General features: G+C 38.1%; 1 protein-coding gene across 2 annotated transcripts in view; it reads right to left on the bottom strand.

The window, feature by feature from the left end:
* Positions 1 to 9,500: 9,500 nt before the first annotated feature.
* Positions 9,501 to 22,586, bottom strand: part of WDR75 (WD repeat domain 75) — a 34,079-nt gene continuing 20,993 nt past the window's right edge. For both annotated transcript variants that reach the window (NM_001303096.2, NM_032168.3), the window contains 13 exons: positions 22,411 to 22,569; positions 21,300 to 21,359; positions 21,092 to 21,207; positions 19,799 to 19,974; positions 18,471 to 18,628; positions 17,405 to 17,585; positions 16,484 to 16,578; positions 15,614 to 15,709; positions 14,808 to 14,977; positions 14,175 to 14,234; positions 10,721 to 10,867; positions 10,245 to 10,336; positions 9,501 to 9,840 (listed from right to left, as the gene is read on the bottom strand). In NM_001303096.2, coding sequence (NP_001290025.1) covers positions 9,636 to 9,840; positions 10,245 to 10,336; positions 10,721 to 10,867; positions 14,175 to 14,234; positions 14,808 to 14,977; positions 15,614 to 15,709; positions 16,484 to 16,578; positions 17,405 to 17,585; positions 18,471 to 18,628; positions 19,799 to 19,974; positions 21,092 to 21,207; positions 21,300 to 21,359; positions 22,411 to 22,569 — 1,715 coding nt within the window. In that variant the 3' untranslated portion in view covers positions 9,501 to 9,635. The remainder of the gene's footprint in view (positions 9,841 to 10,244; positions 10,337 to 10,720; positions 10,868 to 14,174; positions 14,235 to 14,807; positions 14,978 to 15,613; positions 15,710 to 16,483; positions 16,579 to 17,404; positions 17,586 to 18,470; positions 18,629 to 19,798; positions 19,975 to 21,091; positions 21,208 to 21,299; positions 21,360 to 22,410; positions 22,570 to 22,586) is intronic.

Raw genomic sequence — 22,586 nt, 5'->3', positions numbered from 1 at the left:
ATTGAAAAAAATTGAAATTTGTATCCTAGAAATTTCTAGGCACTCCTTGGTATGATTAGGACATTGTGGTTATTTGAGGGGAAAAAAAAAGCTTCCCTGGATTTCTTAATTTCCTGTGACAAACCCTAGCCTCCTGACACTCTTCACATATCATGAGAATTAGATCTATGTCCACTTGTCTAATTAACTGCTCCAATCTGGGCTGGCCCAGTGGCTCATGCCTGTAATCCCAGCACTTTGGGAGGCTGAGGCGGGTGGATCACGAGGTCAGGGGTTTGAGACCAGCCTGGCCAACATGGTGAAACCCCGTCTCTACTAAAAATACAAAAATTAGCTGGGTGTGGTGGCACACACCTGTAGTCCCAGCTATTCGGGAGGCTGAGGCAGGAGTATCACTTGAACTCGGGAGGCGGAGGTTGCAGTGAGCCTAGACTGCACATTGCACTCCAGCCTGATGACAGAGCAAGACTCCGTCTCAAAAAACAAACAAACAAACAAACAAAACAACAACAACAACAACAACAACAAAACTGCTCCTATCTGAACTGATTGTGCAATTTCTCTTCTATCCTTGAGAGAGCCAAATGATTATAATACAGACAAGGTCCCTGAATCAGTCTACCTTTAGAGAACCCTGACAAATACAGTTCCTAAATTAAGCCCTGAGGGGCCAGGAAGATGATAGCGCTGTCGCAGGATGAAACACAGACCTGGGAGATATCTCTAGGCCATAAAAGCTGAGCTGTGTGAGGCTATCTGGCCCCTGGAAATATTTTGTTTACATAAGGAGCAAATAATCTGGGACTTCAAGCCCCAGATGACGATGAGGGCCATGCAGTAGGAAGGGATCAGAGTCAGTTCCAGGATGAGGAAGGTAATCCCGGAGATGAGCACCAGGTGAGTCCATGGACTCCTTGTCCTCCACACATGTATTGTGCCAGGCTGTGCTGAGGCAGCCCAGCTGGTCTAGCAGTGTCACAGGGAGGGTAGTGATACAGGGTATAGGCAGCCTGCAGCTTCTTGGGCAGCACCGGCAGCAAGGCCTGCACGCATTTGAATGGTGCTCTGTACCAGGCACACACCCACAGCCCTTCTCACACTAGCTGAGATGGCAGCAGTACTGTTGCCCAGGCAGGCATTCACCTTCCACAGGGAAAGAGTCCAGACTTTCATTCACCCACCTGAGCAGCTTCAGGATGATGCCTGGGATCTGCAGAGCAGCTGAGGCTATGGTAAGATTGAGAGGAGGTACAAAGGAGACCAAACGGCCTCCAGTGGGTGGGGACAGTGGTGCAGGCAGACATCACTCAACGATGGCCTGAGGCCAGGTGGGGCAGAGACCCCCCCTCCCCCCAGCCTCATCAGAATGGGAATGTTCCAGACCCGGGGTGCTGCACTTGTAGGAGGCCTGAGGGTGGTGGTGAAGAAGCCCTCTTGCTGATTTTGGGGACCACAGTGGCTAAGGAACGAGTGCTAGAGCCAAATTGAGCTGGAGCATTGGCTCATCCATTTACTAGTGCTGTGACCCTGGGCAATTCACCAAACCTTCCTGGTTCTCAGTGTCTTACTCTGCGAACTAGATATTACAAAACTGCATTTTCACATGTATCTTAAGGTGTGGATTAAATGGCACATGATGAGTTTTAGAAAGACGCTGGATATTCTCATAATTATTATGTTATTATTATACCTCTGGGGCCCTTAAGAAACTTGCAGTAATCGCTGCCATAAGTTATTCATGTCTAACCCACCCTCCGACCTCAACCCCAACAACATACATAAACCCGGGCTTGAGCACCACTAGAGCCGGTACTACGTGGGTGTCACTGCAGTTCTATGCTGGGAGAAGATGTCCATTCCTCCATTTTTAGTTGTATAAAAAATTCTGTCCAACATAGTAAGATTCTCTATTCTATTACCATATTCTACAATGAATTATCATTATCAATGCATTAATTACCCTCTTCATTACAAAAAGTATTACGTAGTACACTTGCAATCAAGGACTATCAGAGTTGGAAGGCCCCTGAGGTGCCTCAGCCTCTTCTCACTTCACTGATGAGGAAAGGGATGCCCATGGAAGTTTGAGTGTTTTTCCCAGTAAGTCAGCAGAGCCACTGTGGCTGAGGTGGGGTTGAGCTACATTTTATTTGCACTCCAAAAGCAACCTGGGGGTACATTCCACAACATCCTGAAGAGTAAATGTGGACCGAGTGACTGCTGTGCAAATTTCTTCTGCTGTAGATATTCTCCAAAAACAAGCAGACATTTTCAGAGTAGTCCAATTTCCCACTAAAAGAGGAAAGAAGTTAGATGAGTCAGGAAGAAGGCAAAGGCAAATATAACACAGGAATTTCTTGTCCTTGTCTCAAGATATTCCCAATTCTAGCACATACCAATACAGTTGTGTTCTCTGTGTTGTTCGGTTTTCAGTAGCCAGTGATGCTTCTCTCTGCCCCTTTAGCTAAAAGACCTGCACAGATGTGGTACATCTTGTGGTGTTCAGTGTTTCCTTTAGCTTGTTTTATATAGTCAAGAGGACATTTTCTGCCAAGGTCATGAATTAGGGGGATGAGAGGAGTGTTACACAGGTCGGACATAGCAGAGGGATGGAGTGTAATGAAGTCAGACATATTTAGTTGGCAGTTCCAAAAATCCCTTCACTGCCTAAAATTCATGAAATCCTTGCTCATGTTGCAGAATATATCACTCTTCAGTGGCTTAAGGGGGTACTTGGAGCCTGGGAAAAAGATTTGCTTATAAAGACAAGCGTTGGCCCTTCATTTCACCTTGACTGTTGAGTTTAACAAACCTACCTGCTCTTATCTTGTTCATTCTATGGCCATCTTCATTCAACAAATAGGAGAGCTCCTTGTGTGTCCTACAGCCTGCTCCCTTATTCCATGTTTTGAGCCCTGCGGGGTCAGCCTGCCCCTGGGAGCTGTATTAAATACTTAGCTCATAGTTTCTCTGGACATGTTGCTGATGGGAGTTCTGACTCCAAGCCTATTCTCTGGGGTAAAGTCTAAAGAGATTCAGGCAAAGGATACCTCAAGCCTTCTTTCATTAGTGCAGGATCTTCTCTCTTATTCAGAAATGTAGTCTTTGAAGCTGCTTTTCTCTTCTGTCCAGCACCAAGGTTGCAATTAAGTAGCAAGGCCACACATATATTTTTGGATAGGGCTAACAGAGTTCTGGGCATTTTGGAGAATCACAATTTGAGAGTCAACAAAGGGGCTCAGAAGACCATCTAATGGAACCCAGGCTTCGTAGAGATTCAAACCATAAGACCTCAAATAACTTGAGAGGTTCAAATCTAGGCAGAGGCAGAACTGGAGCTAGTAGTCTTCTGACTCCTAGACCAGTGCTCTTTCTGGCAGAAACGCCACATTGAGCTGGGCTAGTGGACTCAATTTCACAACTGCAGACAGGCATTTCCGAAAGAATATGAATTTAACTTACATTCCTATGTGAGCTAGAGCATAATATCCAAATATTTGCATTTAAAGTGCTTGTTTTCAGAGCACTTATATTCATCCTTCCGTTAAAGTAGACAACCACTGAGTAACAAGGATGATCAAAACTCAACAAAACAATGAAAGGAACTGGTGCACTTTCATGTCTGATTATTTCATTTTGTGAACCAAGTGCTCTGATCTCCCAGGGAGTTTCTAAGCCAGGGGTATGTATGTCATGCCTGAAGATGGAAAACTAAGATAGCCATCTCTCCACCTATTTATATACATGCACCGAAAATTTAATACTTGCAAGACCAGTTTCTTGGCATTCTGAGACATGGGATGGGATGTGGGACCTATGCTGCAATATTCTGGTATCTAAGTTTTGATGTCACAGAATATCAGAGCTGGAAGGGTCACTTTGTCTAATTCTGCAATTTAGATGAAGGAACTGAGACTCAGAGATTAAGTGGTTTGCTCATGGTTTTTGAAAAACAAAGCAATCTGAGCATCATAATTATTGACTGCATCTCTGTGGTTGAGTGGTTCATTTTCATTCCAGTCTACTCACCTCCTGTTGTCATAGTGTACTACTATCAAATCCCAGTTACTTTCATTTCTATTTTGTTTTAATCTCAAAGGTATTCATCAGGAATAAATAAGCTACCTGGGATCCAAAATCCTTCCCAGGTCTTTTCCCATTTCTATGAAGATTGTGTGGTGACAGAATTATGGCTTTGGTGTCTTAAGGTGATTTTGTCATTTTTGTTGCTATCGAGAAACACAACTAACAGAGGAAGCACAATTTCTAGAAGTAGTAGGTCAGACAGAGCAGCTTCAAAGAAAAATTGATGCCATTTATAAGATTTAGTTAGTTTTAACCAGATAGTTATGTTAATAGGTTTCTGTTAAAGGCTCCATTATAGTCATAGTACAAAGAACTGAAATTGTTTAAAACACATTATCCACAACATTTCAACATATTCTATCATTTCTATATTGGGTGCTAGGCTATGATAGGAGGAAAAAACCAAAGAGGAATGTTGTTTCAGCACATTAACAACGAAGCTATTTTAATCAATATGCATTCAATTAGTAGACTTTTCATTAAAATTTCGTATGTACTGAAGTGTATAATCTTGTACAATATTCCAATTTTACACACATTTCCTATGTGTGCAATATAATCGTATTAGTCAGGTAAACAAAACCATTTGCATGGGGCAAGAGCACATTTTACTGATGAGGGGATTTAAGCTCAGACAGTTTAAAGGATTATAGCCAGGTCACAGAGCTAGCTAGCTCATTTACAGCTGAGATTAGCTCTAGATCTGGGCTATTTTGTTTGATTCTTATTATAATTCCTCCCCAATTATAGATCCCTCTGTAATGCCAATTAGCTGCTTTAAGTGTCTGGTAGACAATATGTTATTCTAGAAGTGCATAAGATTTGGGATTTGATAGGCAGAGGTCCTCCTGTTATAGCCCCACCTCTGATAGCTCAGTGACCTAAATAGTATTTACTTAATCTCTCTGAAAGCAGTTTCCTCATATGTTAAATTGGGGTAACACCTGACACATGATATTATAGACAAAGTATGATGTGAGTGAAATGCATAGCACATAGTTGGTGATTAACATGCGGTCCATTCCCCAGTGAAGTTGAGATTATATATTTCCTGAATTATAGGCTATGCCTTTCATTATGGACATACCAGTGAGAGCACCAAATGTAGCACTTCATGTCTTGATAGATAAATGAAATGAACAATGAGGAAGGATAGAAGGTGAGTAGTCTTTATGGATTCATCTTCTATGACTGGACCAGTTTCCAGTAGGAAAGGAACTGAGGGACAGCATTATAGAATGGCTAGATGAAAGTCCAGGTTTTAAGAAATCAAGCAGCCATTTCCCTATTATTTGTATAGTATTCTTTGAAAATAGAATTGTTAATATTGAAGGAAGAATTAAAATAATCTTCCCTGGCAATGTTTTAGTGTAAGAGTGATCAAATTTTTAGAAAAAGTAATTAAGTCCACACTTACACAGTGATTTTTCAGGTTATATAGTAACCACTGTTTTAAAAAGACATGTATCGAATTTAAGTAATTTGATTTGAAAGTATAAAATCTTTCATGTACAACTGCAAAAAATAAACATTTCTTGCACTTGGAAGTACCACGTCAGTGTCTGCATAGGGCAAAATAATAAAATTTATTTGTAATTATGTTAATATGCCCCACTCTCCTAAAGGAAGAGGGAGGGAGAAGCTGAAAAGATCAAAATGAATGTTGACACAATCTTTCTTGTTTTACTTAAAATTTCCAAGTAAATCTGATCAAGCTTCCAGATTTGTGCTGTCCAAAACCATAGCCACTAGGTGCAGGTAGCTAATTGAGTACTGGAAATGTGGCTAGTTCAAATGGAAATGTGCTCTAAGTATAAAATATACACTGAGTTTTGAAGGTAGTATGGAAAAAAACATAAAATATCCCAATAAATCATTTAAAACTTGGTTATAGGTTGAAATATTTTAGATACGTGGAACTTAATAAAACATTTATTGCAGGGTTTTAGAAAATATATCATTAGCATTAATTTCATTTGGTTATTTTTACTTTTTTATTGTAACTATTAGAGAATTTAAAGTTATACATAGGACTTGCATTATAGTTCTATTGCATAGTGCTACTCTAGATACAACTACCAATATACAGAGGGTCATGTTAAAAGCCATGAAAGCAATCTGCAAAATCAGTGACGAACTCACAGGGCAAACTTGATTTTTTCAACAAATTGTGCACAGAAAGAAATAAGAAAAAAACGAAAAAAAAAAAAAGGCAAAGAAGAAAATGTAAACTGAGACTTGAGAGGTCTACTTCAATGGCAGTCTGAGATCCATGGACCTGCTCCTCAGAACAACTGTAATCAGTAAAAGTTACTTTAAAAAACCTAGCCATTTAAAGTCTCCAGAAATTGGCTGGGTGCAGTGGCTTGAGGCCTGTAATCCCAGCACTTTGGGAGGCCCAGGTGGGCGGATCACTTGAGGTCAAGAGTTTGACACTAGCCTTGCCAACATGGTGAAACCCCATCTCTACTAAAAATACATAATTAGCCAGGTGTGGTGGCTGGTGCCTGTAGTCCCAGATACTCAGGACGCTGAGGCAGAAGAATCGCTTGAACCTGGGAGGCGGAGGTGGCAGTGGGCCGAGATTGCACCACTGTATTCCAGCCTGGGCAACAGAGGGAGACTCTGTCTCAAAAATAAATTAAAAAAGTCTTCAGAAATTGTTTTAAGGGTATACAGCAAATGAAGAAACATTTATTCAAGAAATTCTAATAAATCTTGGTGGCAAGAACAGTGACACTCAAGTTACAAAGCTCTCCTTCCTCAACTCAGCCAGCATGATAGGAACTCCATTCTGGGCAGCCGTGGCCAAAAAGACAGAGCTTCCTCTCCCCTCAGCTGTGAGCATTTCTCATTGCCTCCAACTCTCTGTTGCAGAGGCTAAATTCCAGGCCAGAGGTTGGAATCTCTCTTCCTTCACCAAGACCCTACTCACAGAGTGGAGCCTCTACTCCAAGGATGGTAGGCTAAGAATACTGGAGCTCTGGTCGCCACTGCCCCAGCTTGCTTGTAGGCTACTGCCTCTGCTCAATTTGTAAAGCAGGGGTGTCACTCTTGAGAGAACTGGGCCTTTGTGCCTACTCATGGTTCTGGAGCAGTGGCTCAGAGATCTTGCCCAGGGGCAAGAGGCAGTCCATAAGAATACAGTTCTGACATAAGCCTCAAAAACAATGGGGATTTGGGTGGTAAGCAATTAAGAGGAGACTGGTAGCTCCATTAGAACAACAAGCTAAACCATAAACTAGCTAGTTTACCAGAAACAAAGAAAACAAGGAAAGAGACAGCTAAAATGGGTCCTCCTGGGATCAGAACAAACCTCAAAGGCTGGCCTCAAAAACTAACGCTGCATTTTGATGGCAGTGAAAATACTCGTGTAATACTATACTGATGGATACATATTATTATATGTTGCATAAACCCACAGAATTACACCAAGACTGAACACTAATTCAAATTAGACTTTGGGTGATTATGATGGGTTGAGGTAGGTTCTTCAAGTGTAACAAATGTACCACTCTGGTGCACCAGAGATGTTGATAATGGGGTAGGCTATTGCATGCGTTGGGGGAGAGGGTATATGGGAAATCTCCGTACTTTCAATTTTCTTGACCTAAAACTACCCTTAAAAAAATAGACTTAAAACAACAAAAGCACCCCTGAAAGGGATCTCAATTTTTTTTTAATTTCCACCTTCCATCCCACCACCAGTAGAAAGGGACTCAATTTAACGGATGACTGTGGAGCAATTTATGTGCCATAATGTAAATAATGTAAAATGCTGCAGCTGATATGTAAAATCTGGTGGTTCTTCAAAAGGTTAAACATAGTTACCAAATAACCCAGTAATTCCCCTCATAGGTATACTAACAAAAGTGAAAATAAAAAGGAATGAAGTACTGATATATCTACAACATGGATGCTGAATGAAAGCAGCCACTTACAAAAGATCACATATTGTATGAGTCCATTTACATGAAATGTCCAGAATAGGCAAATTTACAGAGATAGGATGAGTTGTTGCATTGTTGGTGAGGTGAAGGAGGCTGAGGGAAATGGCTAGTTTTGGGGTGATGAAAATGTTCTAAAATTGATTGTGGTGATGGTGTCCAAGACTGAACGTATTAAAACCCACTAAATTTTCCTCTTTAAATGCATGAATTGTATGGTTTGTGAGTTACATCTCAAATCTCAATGTAGCTTATTTTTAAAAAATGTAGCCAAGGTCGGAGGATCACTTGAGGCCAAAGAGTTTGAGACTAGCCTGGGTAACATAGCAAGACATCTCTACAAAAAATTTAAAAAATAGCCAGGTGTGGTGGTGAGTGCCTGTAGTCCCAGCCACTTACGAGTCCGAGGTGGGGGTTGGGGACTTGAAAAAAAAAAAGTTAAGATTTTACATAAATAGTGATTCAAAAACACTTTAAGTCTGTTTAGGATGCTACAGACCGGGTGGTTTATAAACAGAAACTTATGTCTCAGTTCCAGAAGTCGGAAAGTCTAACAAAAAGGCACCAGATTTGCTGTTTGGTGAGGCCCCACTTCATAGTTCACAGATGGTTTTCTTCTTGCTGTATCCCCACGTGTTAGAAGGGGCAAAGAAGCTCTCCAGTGTCTCTTTTGTAACAGCATTTATCCTATTCACAAAGGCTCCAGTCTCATGACCTAATCATCTCCCAAAGGCCCCATCTCCAAATACCACATTGAGGATTAGATTCCAACATTTGAATTTTAGGGGGGCACAACAAACATTTGGTCTACAGCACAAACTAAAAAGCCATTTGCAGCAATTTTTGTGAACATTCATTGAGATGTGCTCTTACAAACGCTTTGTTTTTGTGCTAACTTCTAAATATAAATTTTACAAAAGTGCATTAGGGAAGTGGAAAACTCAAAATGCTAGGTGGTTAAGATGTAGCAGCTTCACTGCTTTAACTAAAACAGGGGATCTGGATCGTTTTCTACTAGCAACTGGACTTTGGGTCAGATCATCTGAATTCAGAATTTTAGGCAGCCCATATTATTATATAATATCCTCAGTGAGGTTTGTGGAACACCACATAATCAACTCGTCTCTAAATTTCTCTGAGAGAAATAAATACACTAAGAGGAATAAATCAGGACTAAAGAAACCTCACTCCAGCTCAGGTCACATTTGGCCACCAAATGAATTTGTGTTAAAACAATTATGTCAACAAAGCCTTTTAACTTTCAAATCTTTTCGTATCTCCAAACTGCAGCTTAGGGGACATATGCTGTACAGTTCAAGTCTCAGTTCTGCTGTATCACCTGTGAAGAAAATACCTACTTGTTTTATAAGGCTGATGTGTGACTCAAAATAAAAAAATGAGATGATGTGGTATATCAATGATCCAGTAACTGTAAAGCATGATGCAAATACATGTTCATATTATCAGTTTTTTAAAAAAGCAAAGTTTGTTAATATTTATTATCTTATTTTTAGAACAGAAATAACATTAAAATAGATGTTTTTAGAATATCAACATACAATCAAAAACACAAAGTCCAAGGATCCTCCCCATCTCCAAGGCTTAAAGGGCAGCTATCCAGCTGTAGTCTATTTTCCTAAATTTTCTCAGTTCTTTTTCTTCAGATTTTGACAACTGATGTATAATGTCTTCTCCTAAACCTGTGTTACTTGTATCCTGGACTTTTTCGGTAAAATCATTTTCTTCATCTGAATCTTCACTTTCTTTTTCTTCTTCCATATCTACATCTTCAGGAATTTCCTTAGCACTTTAACAATAACAGAATAAAATATAAACACTATTAAATGTTTCTAAACAGTAACTTTCTAATTTGACACCTATGTAGAAATATAATCACACAAAGTAAATGAAGAATTTTGTTACTAAGTACACTTTAAAAATTATGGGTTATTTATAAAAGAGCAGGTGAATTTACAAACATGTAATTTTAAATTATGTACCAAGCCCTTAAAACACACACATACAAGATCTTTTTTGAAACTTATTTTCAATGTATGTTACTTGACTTAATAATCCTATAGCCTTTAAATCTATTTTAAAACTTATGAAATAAAAAGAAATACAGTGGAAGAATACTCTAAAAAAGGATAAACACAAACGATCCTGTTTCCCAAAAGAGAGTGTCCAAACCTGTCTTAAGAACTGCTTTACCTCTTAGTCTCTTTAGACAGCAGCAATGAATTTACAAACATGGAGCACAGGAAAGCAGCAGATGGCAGGACATGGGCTGGAGTGTGAAGAAGCTGGAGTCAAACAGAAAACACGGTTGCAATTAAAAAGCTTATCCTCCACCGCAGTCTGTTCCTACAGTGTCCTCACGGAGTCCCTTTTATTGTAAATGCCAAGAGTGAAACATGAAAAGGCTTTCCCTATACAAAAGCCAAACCAAAGAAAAATACATTTCTACCTTCCTACATTTATGCCAACAACCACCCCTATCCCTACACCAGGTCCAGGACAAAACAATCCCAGATCACAAGGTTAAGTTACTCGGTTTGTTGTTAGTTATTTAGTTTGGGTATTAAAGTTGTACAGCATACAAATTACAGATTGACTGTGTCAAAACTCCAACTTCAGGTGCTTTAAGTGCATTTAATCTGTTTCACATGGTTTTCATAATTACTTACCTCACTAATTGCGGGTATGTTTTCTGTTAAGGGTAGTTGTACCAGCTCATTCTCTAAAGTTTCGTTTAGTTTTTCATCCTGCTGTTGCCTGTGTTTTCCCAATATGAAATAAAATGGGGTTGTGGGAAGACTTTCTTCTGCTAGCAGCTTTAAGGATTTAAGACAAAGAGAAATTATTTCAGAAAAAAGGAAGAACTGTGTTTGACTTAACAGTAAGTACTACAGAATCATAAAAAGTCTGGGATGAAAGGAATTTTACAAATTATCCAGTTAGTATGATCCTCTCATTTCACAGAGAAAGCAACTGAGGCCTAGCATCCCACTTATGAGAAGAGCTAACAGTGAACACTTAGATGACAGAATAATACATGCATTTACCACTGCTTCTTCACCAAATCCCACAAAAATGACAGCAAAAGGGTTTTCAAAGGGCACATACTCACAATGATAGAAAATGAGGGAAAAGGCCTTAACAGTAACATGTTGGAAACTGGAGAGCAGGCTGAAGGATGGTATTGAACTTAGTAGACCTGAGAAAGCACAATTCTAAGCTGGCTGTAGGGAAAGCCAAGAAGCATCCCAATTCATACTACAGAATCCTGCAAATGCTCAGGAGTTGGTAATAATAGTAACTCTGGATGTGGGGTGAAAATGGGACTAGACAAACCAGACGGGCTGGTGGAAAGTCTACTTAGAAAGCACCCCACAGCTCCTCCTCAGCCCCAGCAGAGGGCTCTACATCTTTAGGCTAGGTATGGATAGCGGTGGTGGTGGTGGTGGTATCTTCATATCTAGGCAGTTGTACTTCATGTAGGGGGTTCTCAGAACACTGACAGGTAGGTCTAAATCCTTTAGGCAGGAACGCATAGAATTTTTTATGGTTAATTTGACCAGCCTAAGTAAGACCTAAAGATACAGCTAACCTTGGAATAACAAGGGTTCGAATAACACGTCTATGTGGAGTTTCTTCTATTTCTGCCAGACCTGAGATGGCAAGATCAACTCCTTCTCTTCCTTAGCCTACTCTATGTGAAGATGAGGATGAAGACCTTTGTGATGATCTATTTCCACTTAATGAATAAATATATTTTTCTCTTTCTTATAATTTTTTTTTTTGAGATGGAGTCTTGTTCTGTCACCCAGGCTGGAGTGCAGTGGTGTGACCTAGGCTCACTGCAACCGCCATCTCCCAGGTTCCAGTGATTCTCCTGCCTCAGCCCCCGAGTAGGTGGGATTACAGGCATGCACCACCATGCTTGGCTAATTTTTGTATTTTTAGTAGAGATGGGGTTTTGCCATGTTGGCCAGGCTGGTCTCGAACTCCTGACCTCAAGTGATCTACCTGCCTTGGCCTTCCAAAATGTGGGATTACAGGCAAGAACCACCGTGCCCGGCCTCCTTATGATATTTCTTAACTTTTTTTTTTCCTCTAGCATACTTTATTGTAAGAATACAGTATATAATACATATAATACAAATAACTGTTATCAGTAAGGCTTCAGGTTAAGTTTTGGGAAGTCAAAAGTTATACATAGGTTTTCAATCTCTACATTGTTCAAGGGTCAATTGTAATGACATTTGAGACTGTCTCAATAAATTAGCTCAGATAGTGGAAGCCAAGGGATAAGTTCTGCACAGGCAGAGAACTTCCAAGTGGCTTTTTAACCCACTTTTAAATCCAAAGACAGCCAAGAATCATCAGACTCTGATGAAAACCTCTAGATGAAAGGCAGCAACCAAGACAAACCAAAAACAAAAAAAAATGTAATGGAAACAGACCATGAAAAAGAAAAAAAGATTTGATGATAAAGATGAGGAAATCTTCCAGAAAACAAACAAAAAATAGGCAAAACAATAAGAATAATAGAGAACCATTCTAGAAAGTCCAGCACTAAATAATAGGAGTTCTAGAAAAAGAATAGAGAAAGAAGTAATTAGCTCCTCCTTAGTTCTCTACTCAAAACTCTCCAAGGGGCCCTATATGTAACTCAGAGAAAAAGTCAGAATCTTTTCAATAAGGCCTACGTAGACTTCCCTGTTTAAAATTACAAGCTGCATCCCATGCATGCCATCTTTTCGTCTATTCTCTACCCCACCACAATTCTTACCACCTTCTCTACTCCATATTTTACTTAATGCATGTTGTTTACTGTCTCTATCTTCTGGTGGACTGTGAATACCGCAAGTTTAGAGACTTGACTACTTTTCTCACTACTGTATCCCAACTGTCTACAATGGTCCCTGGCGTACAGTAAATAATTAACAAAAAATTATTGAATTAATCCAATGAGTTTTAAAGGAAAATAAACAAGCCAAGTTACAGACAAAGGAACAAGAACAAGAATGGTATTGGTCTTCTAGTAATAATGGAAATTATAAAATAATAGGACAATAATGTCAAAGTTCTGCGAGAATGATTTTCAACCTACAACTCTATAATAATCAAGTGAAAGAGAATAAAAACATTTCCAAACATGCAAGGTCTTAAATTGACCTCCAATGCACTAAAAGAATGCTTCACCAAAACAGGGGAGTGACCAAAGAAAGAGAAAAACCACACCACTAATAGAGTAGAGGTCAAACAAATCCCCAGAATGATGGTGAATATAGATCCTAGGATGACTACTGTGTAGCAGGTTTCCAGAGCAATCAGTCCAGACTGAAGACAGTCAGAAGGCTCTTGGAAATAATCCTTTATGACTTGAAAGAATACCTAATGTATCTGAAAACACTGAGAGAATACTTACACAACTTGAGCAGAATTTGGGGTTGAATTACATGAGAATAGAAAACTAAGCAAATGAAAAAACAAGGCAATCATTAACTCCACAGAAAATAAAAACTTGGTCACAAAAGGAAAAACAATCTGCCTATTACTACATGGCTTGGCTATGAATTGTGTTAACACAGCTATGACAATGACTACTGAACTAACCAATTTAACATTTACCCATATGGGGAAAATTGGGGGACAAGTAGGGAAAGTGTGTGTTGTGTATATGCAGGGAGTGCTGATGTGAAAAACAGCTAAAAATTCAGCGTCAATAGATCAGAGTTAACAGATAATACCTAAATCTGAAAAACCTATAATTAGAAATATAAACATTTCTTAGAGATTTCTTAGAGATTCAGAGTTAAATAAAAACTTCAGCTAAAAGATTTGAGAGTGATTGTCTTTGTGGGTAATGGTAGTGGTGTTGGAGAAGTTTTTTCTGAAGAGCCTTGTAAAAATATTTGACTCTTTAAATCAGAATTATATATTACTGATATTATAAATTAAAATAATTTTAAAAGAGCACTAAAACTTTCAAGAGACACATATCAGTTTATAAGTATATGGCTTTTAATTCTATTTTAGGGCCAAGTGAAATATTTTTTTCATAGTTGACTTCTAAAAGGTAATTGTATCCTTTTAGGGAGGCAATACATCCTGCTATGAATGGCTAAAACATACCTGTTTGCTTGTTGGTGTGAGTTTTTCTTCTGGAGACTTTGTACTGAATGTCAATAAACTCTGAAAAGAGAGAATTAATGATGCAAAAGACAAACTGTAGAGTGCAAATCTAAACAAGGTGTTACAGGGTGTTAAAAAATGAGAAGGTCAAATTTTTCACTTTGATATATATATTTGACAACAGAAAAGGAATAAAAGATTTAAACCTATTTAATAACCACGATGAGAGTTACAAGATTATGTCTGAGAGATACTTAAGAAATGGTAATGAATAAAAAATATAACTGACAGACAAAACTCAAGCCACCATTTTAAAAATTGCAAATCAAACACTGAAAAAAAAAAGAAAAAGAAAAAAGAATCATGCAATTTAAAGTATTTTAGTTGTCTTCTGCTTTTTTGCTGTCACAGAGTTAATACAAGCAATACCTAAGGAACCTCAAAAGTGTGGGGTAAAACGGTAATACATTTACATTAATAATGCTGCTGTACTGAGCATATTAGACAATTTTTTGGGAAATAATCCTTTAATGAAGCTGTTTCACCTAGAAACAAACTCACACCAATAGTCATGGGCTATTAGTCTAAAATTCCATGTACAAAGTGATCGCCTTTTTTGAGGGAGGCAGTTACCTGTGATTTTGTTAGGAAGTAAAACTGGGATCTATTTAGCCACTGGTAAGCTTCTGAGGTGAAGGATTCAGGGACATCTCGTGGAACAAACACTCCCCACTGGACTTTCTCTCTGGAGATACCCTTTTGAATATACAATGGCCTTGGCTCACTAGGTTTAAATACAAACACTAGAGGGAAAAAACAAAGAAACAATAACATTTTGCCTGAAAAGGTTAGTTCTAGCCTCAGACTGGCAGATCACACTAATCCTGGGACTCACCCCATTGAGTAACTGGCCCAAGTCATGACTGTTTTAGGCTTTGATTCAAGAGGTATCTACTGTGTTCCTACTATGGGCCAGGCAGGTTAGGAATGAGGGCTATGAGGATGAAAAACAGAAAGAAGAATTCGTGCTCCAGAGGCCAGGGCCCACTGCAGAAGACAGAAACCAAAATATTATTACAGTAGTATTTTGTCTGTAAGTACTAGAAATGAGATATGTAGAAACTGCTTCAAGAACATAGAGGATGACCAATTAAAGCTTCTCAGGGGCAGTTGGAAATATGTCAAACTGGTGAAATCTCTTGAATTTTAAAGATTGAGTACGAATTGGCTTGTGGAAAAATAAGAAACATATTGGAGCTCTCCTAGAACTAAGTATGGACGCACACAATGACAAAGTGTTGGGGCAAAGAAGGGCCGTGCCTCAAGCAAAATGGCTTCCAATTAACATCTGATGTGAAGGCAAGTTTGGCTCAAATTATATTAAGAAGAAAACTTAGGTCATAGATGTTCTCTTACTACAAAGTGTGGTTTGTACTTACAGTCTGAACCCACTGAAGACTGAGAGATTGCAGCAATATTCTCTGAATTAGGATCGGGTTCCATAACTCTAACATTTAATTTTGCATTCCACTCCACTGAGGGGAAAAACAAAGGTGATTCACTTCTAAGGAAAGATTTACCAAAAGCTTTAAAAAACTTCTCTTATTCTTAGGAAGAGGAATCTTATGCTTCCAACTAACACACATGGAGACACACTGAAATGATTTGTAGAATGCTGCACTAAAGTGAGAGGCCGAAAGAAAAACATACTGGAACTGTAGTGCTCCTTGTACAAACTATGAAAAGATTATTATTTCATTGAAATTTATGTCTAGTGCTTTTCTGATGCTGCTAAATGTGTACAGTATGTTAACCAGAGTTAACTGTAAAGAATACTGAAAAAAGTTACCATACACATTCATTTATAAGCAGCTACTATGCCTTCCAAACATACACTCAAATGGGTAAAATGCCACTAAGTTCACATTTGTTAGGACTGTGATAGACTACATTTGAATTTAAGCTGTCAGGGATAATGTAGATTAGTAAGTATTAAAAATGAGCAGAAAACATTATTCAAATTGTTACGAGGATGGGGAATATGGAGGGCATCAGAAAGTCACACACACTGAAAACAGTAGAAAAAGGTAAGGATAATGGAAGCTGACGTACCAACAATTAAGCAGTTAATAAATAATGTCTATTACAGGCCCAGTATTCCAAATTTTGGTGGCATCATATGTCACGTAAAAAACTGACTATTCCAAGTACAGACCTGATGATATGATCCCTAAGTCCTAAAATGCCAAAGTTTAATGTCAACTCCTTATGCGCTTTGCCAGATCACTTTAGAGTAAAAAATATCTTACATGCACAGCTCAGCAGATTCCAACAGCAAAGAATGCCATTTTCAGTAGCACCAAGTAGATACTTTGAACACGTCAATCTCCCAAAGCAAAGGTGCCTAGATTAAAACCACAAGGAAGTTAGCAACAGTCAGTTCTAGCAAATTCAGTTACAAAGAACTGCAGGCTTCCAGCGGCTGTTCTATGTAATGCAGATTTTTATATAGACATATATATTTTTGTTTATAATTATCCTGAAGAAAAAAGTGTCTAAGGAGTACAAAAGGAAGGGTCTAGTTAGCTATTTCTTTAGGAAAACAGAACGGATGACCAATTCTTTAACACACTGTGCGGTATACCAATTTACATCTAACAGAGAAAATGTACATGAAACGTACAGTCATCTGACAAAAATCCTATTTACCAAGAAGAAGAAAACTTGCGATTTCAATTGTGAAGAAAGTTTTACAAAGTAAATTCAGAATCAGACATGCTGGGAATTAGAGACGATCTCATTAGGCATCTGATTCTGTCCTCAGGCCCAACTACCTGAAGCAGGACCTGAAAATGCTGCTGCTACTTTCCCCTGCACCTCTCGGAAACAATGAGGTTGGCGCATAACACGGTTTTTATGGGAATACACAGAAAATAAGAAGGTTTGGATCCCCTGAGGCTTATGTATAGCTTCTGTTACCATTCAGCACATCCATGAAAGTATTCCAAAGAAAAAATATGTAGGCCAAGAGTTAAATGTTAACCTGAATTTCAGAAATGTTGGCACAGTTTGTGGACTCAGAATTTTTGGCTTTCCAGCATTTTGATTAGCTGCTTGCCCCACTGACCTTCAGGCTACTTTTGGAGAGGGCATAAATGACTACTAAAGTTTTAAGACTTGTTTAAATAAGTTAAAAAATAGTACTACATACTTCCCGAAGATTTACCTACCTTATTTTCCCAGCTCGTTGGCAAAATGTACATTTAAGTTCCCATGTTACAGAATCCCATATTGTGACTATTTCCTCAAAACTAACTGCTAGTAAAGAACCATCTTCGGAGAAACAACAGTTAGTTGCTTGATACTTGTGATAACTACCAACAAAGTCACAGGTCCAGCCAACAGCTTTTTCTGTGGAAATATAAGCCATAATGTTCAGAAATTGTGTAAATGCTAGAGAATGCTACAGTAGTTCCCCCTAGTTTCCCATTATCTGAGGGTTCACTTTCTGTGGTTTCAGTTCCTAGGGGTCAACTGAGGTCTGAAAATAGCTGTGTACAGTACAAAAAGATATTTTGAAAGAGAGAGAAAGGCAGACACAGAGCATGCACATATTCACTTTTTATTACAGTATATTATTGTAATCATTCTATTATTAGTTATTAACCTCTTACTGTGCCTAATTTATAAATTAAACTTTATCTCAGGTATGTATGTATAGGAAAAAAACAGTATATACAGGGTTCGGTACTATCTGCAGTTTCAGGCATCAACTGGGGCGGGGGGGTCTTGGATTGTATCCCCCACTGTTAAAGGGAGACTGCTAAATGAGGGACATTATAAGCAGTAGGGATTAAGAAACAAAGATGCACACACAAATAACAAATAAAATAAAAAAGAAACAAAGACACAAAACAAGAAAACCTGTTCCCCACAACTTCTTTAAGTCAGAACTGCTACAAAATACTGACTGTTCTGAAATTTATGCCCTCTCCTGGAGACCTTGACCTCCCTCTAGTGGAGGAGTGAAAGGACTCTTGGTAAAAGCCCCTTTTACTTTACCCTAAAAAAACAGAATAATCAGCACATGATTAATCAAGAATGCCATTTAAAAAGAACAGATTTGAGGAAAAAGGCATGTAAAATGTAATCTCTTAAATCTATTAAGATTAAGCAATATCCTGTAGAATTCAATAAAGTAGAAAATGTCCTCCCAGGATGGATACAAGTCATGAGAAAAAGAAATTAATTCCTAAAATTGTGCACACTTTAAACATAACATATTTAATAACTTACTGTATATGTCAGAGTCATCTGTTAATATCCATACTTTGAAGTAACCATCTTTGCTAGCTGTAACCAAGGTGGGCTGTTCAGATTTTTCTGCATTACAGAAACAGAGAGCTGTAATGCAGTCTTCGTGTGGCATGTTAATTTTAGTGTTAAGAATAAACCTAGCGGGAAGGAAACCACAAATTTATTCTTGCATGAGGACAAAGTGATGTATATAAGAATTTCTGACATGCTGTACATTTTACAATAGCATCTTGAACAACAGGCAACTGATAATCACGTAGAATGACAAACAATTGAGTGCTCTACCTCTAATGGCCACAGGACGCAAAGAGTTCTAATATATCACCTTTGCCCTTGTGTGACTTTAGAGAACATTCTGTGTAGTAGTCAACCCACTAGTACATTGGTACAAAATGAGGATAATACAGGTCACCAATCAATGATACTCAAAAGCCTACTGTATCAAACTCTGTAGGAAACTTGTATAGAACCCAGATTCCTGCCTACTTTTGAAAATAAAAAATGGAAAGGCCGTGAAACGCCCCACCTGGGGCAAGGAAAAATAGACAGGAAACTACTTAGTCAAACTGGCTGGTCATTATTTACTATTTTTAGTCACCTAAATGACTTCTTAAAGCTTATTTCGAGCTTAGAGGGCAACGCTGTGAATGAAAGACAACTAGGACTGTGTTCTTAAAAGAACATCAAGGCAGCATAGGATTGTGATTTTAAAAAAGCACAAGTTATAACAACAGTGACTAGGGACAACCACTTAATCTCTCTGGGCCTGTTTCTTCACCTATAAAATATAGACAACAGGCTTATCTTACAGTGTTCTTTTGAAGAGTAAGATAATGGGTACAAAGCTCTAAGCCAAGTTCTTGGCACACAGCAAAGATCTGTTAAGTGGTTATTATAGCCACAGTACGAGAGTGGATTCCTTATCTAATCACAACATCCATGCTACATTATACTATGCTACACTTCTACCTACACTCCCTCTTTTCAAAAGGCAGTATGCTGTTAACGGAAGAGCAAGGGAACATTTGGATTCTAACCCTGGATTTGCCTAGAATTCGGTATTATGCCCTTGAGGAGGTGTCACTTTTCCATGTTTCTTTATTCATTATGAGATGACATTATGACTTAGAGGACATCAATGTCTTCTCAGAGCAGAAAGCTTAAAGGTTTTATTAGAATAAAACCTCTCCCATATCTCTAAATCTAAACCTTGTCAAGATGAAACATCTTAAAGACAATTGAAACTGTAAAATGGGAAGTGAAATATTTTATACTTTGAAATTAAGTGGCTACACAGATAGTATTACCCTTGTGTTTTCTTATTATACATCCACAGTTTCATTTGCAATTCAAGCTCAGTTTCCTTTTCTTGCCGCTGTTCCACTGTTGCAAGCCAGTTACCAAAGCAGCCAAATGCAGCCTTTGTTAGTTCAATTTGGATCAGACCATAATCATTAATATATTCTTGCTGTATAATATCTAACTGATGAGTAAAAAAAACCAAAAAACCAAAATGTTTATTAACATAAATACACAAATGTTACAGCATTCAAGAAATGATAATTAACTACATCCAAGACAACTTCTGTACTGTATAGTAATAGATTTTTAAATAAAGGCAAAAATGAACTAATTGTTACTATGGACACCAAAATTGCCATTAAAAAAGGGAACACATTATAATAGTATCAATTTGGTGGTAATTATTCTTCAATGACCTTGAATATTAGCGATTACTAACACCCACTATATGATACAACAGAACCGTTAATTTATAGTAGTGCTTTTCTTTTGTTTCTAAGAACAAACAGCTTTACATCATCTCAAGGCTAGATTCTCTGTCAACAGAAACAAGCAGAACAGAAATAAACCTACAATCTTTAAGAAATGAAAAAAGATAGCCAATGTAAGTAGGCCAGCATTTATTTATGGTTGTTTTAAAAAAAATCCCATTTCCTTGCCTATACTAAGTAAATAAAATGCCTACTATTAAGTGTACTAAATGCCTACAATTTACAGGCATTATACTTGAGATAAGCATAAAATGATTAATATGCTTCCTTTTTTTTGAGGGGTCTAAAGGCCACGGTGAGAAAGAGCTAGTGTCACAGTTGCTATGACAGAGATCTGTAAAGAGTACTGTGGGGAACAAGAAAAGTGGGACATCTGGATTGGACTTATCAGGATTGGAAGAAGTGTTCCTCTTTAATCTACACTGAAAATTTTATCTTCAATATGTGAATATGATAGTGTTTCACCACGAAGCAGATACAAATTTGTACTGTCAATCTACCTATTTTTGTTTCTTTATCCTTGTGACTCAAAAGCACAGATGTATGGGATAGCTAATAGGAGGGCATTCTGAAACAAAAGACAGAGACAGCACGTACAGGAGTGCCAACTGGCTTACATGTAACCTGCAACTGTGGCCTCAATGGAATTATGCTCTGAACAACTGAACTAAGTAACCACGGATAATACTATGTTCAAGTAAACATATGCACAGGATCTTGTTTTAAAAGCTACTAAACAAATTGCTTGACTCCAGTGGTACTGTAAAGAGCTTTCATTAATTTCAAGGCTAATGATCAAAATCTTACATTGTATAACTGTTTATCACTCTGGAGAGAATAAAACTGCAGGTGGCCAGGTTTTCCATTCAAAACCAAAGCTTTAGTTCTTGGATCAATCATCAAACCAGTGAAGATACTCCTATCTGCAGAAGTGGTGACAAATAACAGGTGAAATAAGAGAAATATGCACTCTTTAAAATGTTCATGATTCCAAATCCACTGAGTTCTGCAATACCTTTCACTAGGCCTTGAATTACTGCGGATGCTTCAAGGTTTCGGTGAATAATTATTATCTCTGTGGGTAGAAAAAAATAGGTATTTAAATATCAATAGGTTAGAGAAAGCTTGTCCAACCTGTGGCTCAGGGTGGCTTTTTATGCAGCCTAACACAAATTCATAAACTTTCTGAAAACATTATTATTATTATTATTTTTAGCTCATCAGCTATCATTAGTGTTAGTATATTTTATGTCTGGCCCAAGACAATTCTTTTTCCAATGTGGCTCAGGGAAGCCAAAAGATTGGACACCCCTGGGTTAGAGCTTCAAGGTGAAGGAGTCACCTGAGTTTATATTCTGAAATATACCAGAATACAAAACAACCCAGTAAGTTCAATGAACTCAGAGTACTACTAGAAAATCAGGAATACATTTTGTGAGTTAGTGGAAAATCTAGGGGTGGGGATAGGGGCTTTTCTGTTGGAGTCTTTAAGTTTTTATCAGTTGTGCCTATGAACACATTTTAAGTGTTAATGCAAAATCTATAGAGTATATCTAATAAAAATAGTTTAACTTTTTCATGCCACTAAATGGACTGCTCACAGTTATGTTCTTTTTTGAAAGAAAAGGAAGTGGATTTACAAAGATATCCTAGTCTAGGCTGAGTAGTCACTGGATGAACAAAGTTTTGGAGAAATATAAGACTGCCTCTATTTCTATCAAATCTACAGGACTCTTGCCCCCAGGTAACAGCTGTATCAAAAGAGAATCTTGCAGTATTCTTTTGAAAACGGAAGGTTTATGAAAGCACCAATGTCCACTTCCAAACCTTCCCTTTATTTCCTCATGTCATCCCACACTAAAAGACTTTGAAAATGTAAGTGGCACATCAATAACCAAATACACTTAGCCTTCCATTTTATAAAAATAATTCTCAAAAATGTTGAATTCTGGTGGTGCCTAGGGGTAGAGAGGGGTGGAAAAGAGAGGAGTAATGCAAGGAAAAGAAGGCTCATTAAATCTCATACGCTACTCTTAGTTTTAGGTCTCTTTATTCTCTGTTCCCTACAGATGCTAGCTAATTTATGGTGTTTATATATTTCCTCATAATAAAAAATTTAGACTTACTATTATCAGAGTGAGAAGTGCAGAATAAATCTCCTGCAGGCGAGACTGAGATATGTTCAATAGTAGCTCCTAAACGCGGGAGAAACTCCTTATTCTTCTCTGTTGCATCGCGCCACTCTACAAGTACAGATTCACGACCGCCACTCAGCAGACTGGTGCCTTCATATCCATTCAAG

This window comes from Homo sapiens, chromosome 2, assembly GCF_000001405.40.
Source record: "Homo sapiens chromosome 2, GRCh38.p14 Primary Assembly".
NCBI classification, from domain to species: domain Eukaryota; kingdom Metazoa; phylum Chordata; class Mammalia; order Primates; family Hominidae; genus Homo; species Homo sapiens.
Note: the sequence above shows the minus strand (reverse complement) of the source record. Positions and strands in the feature narration are given on the sequence as shown.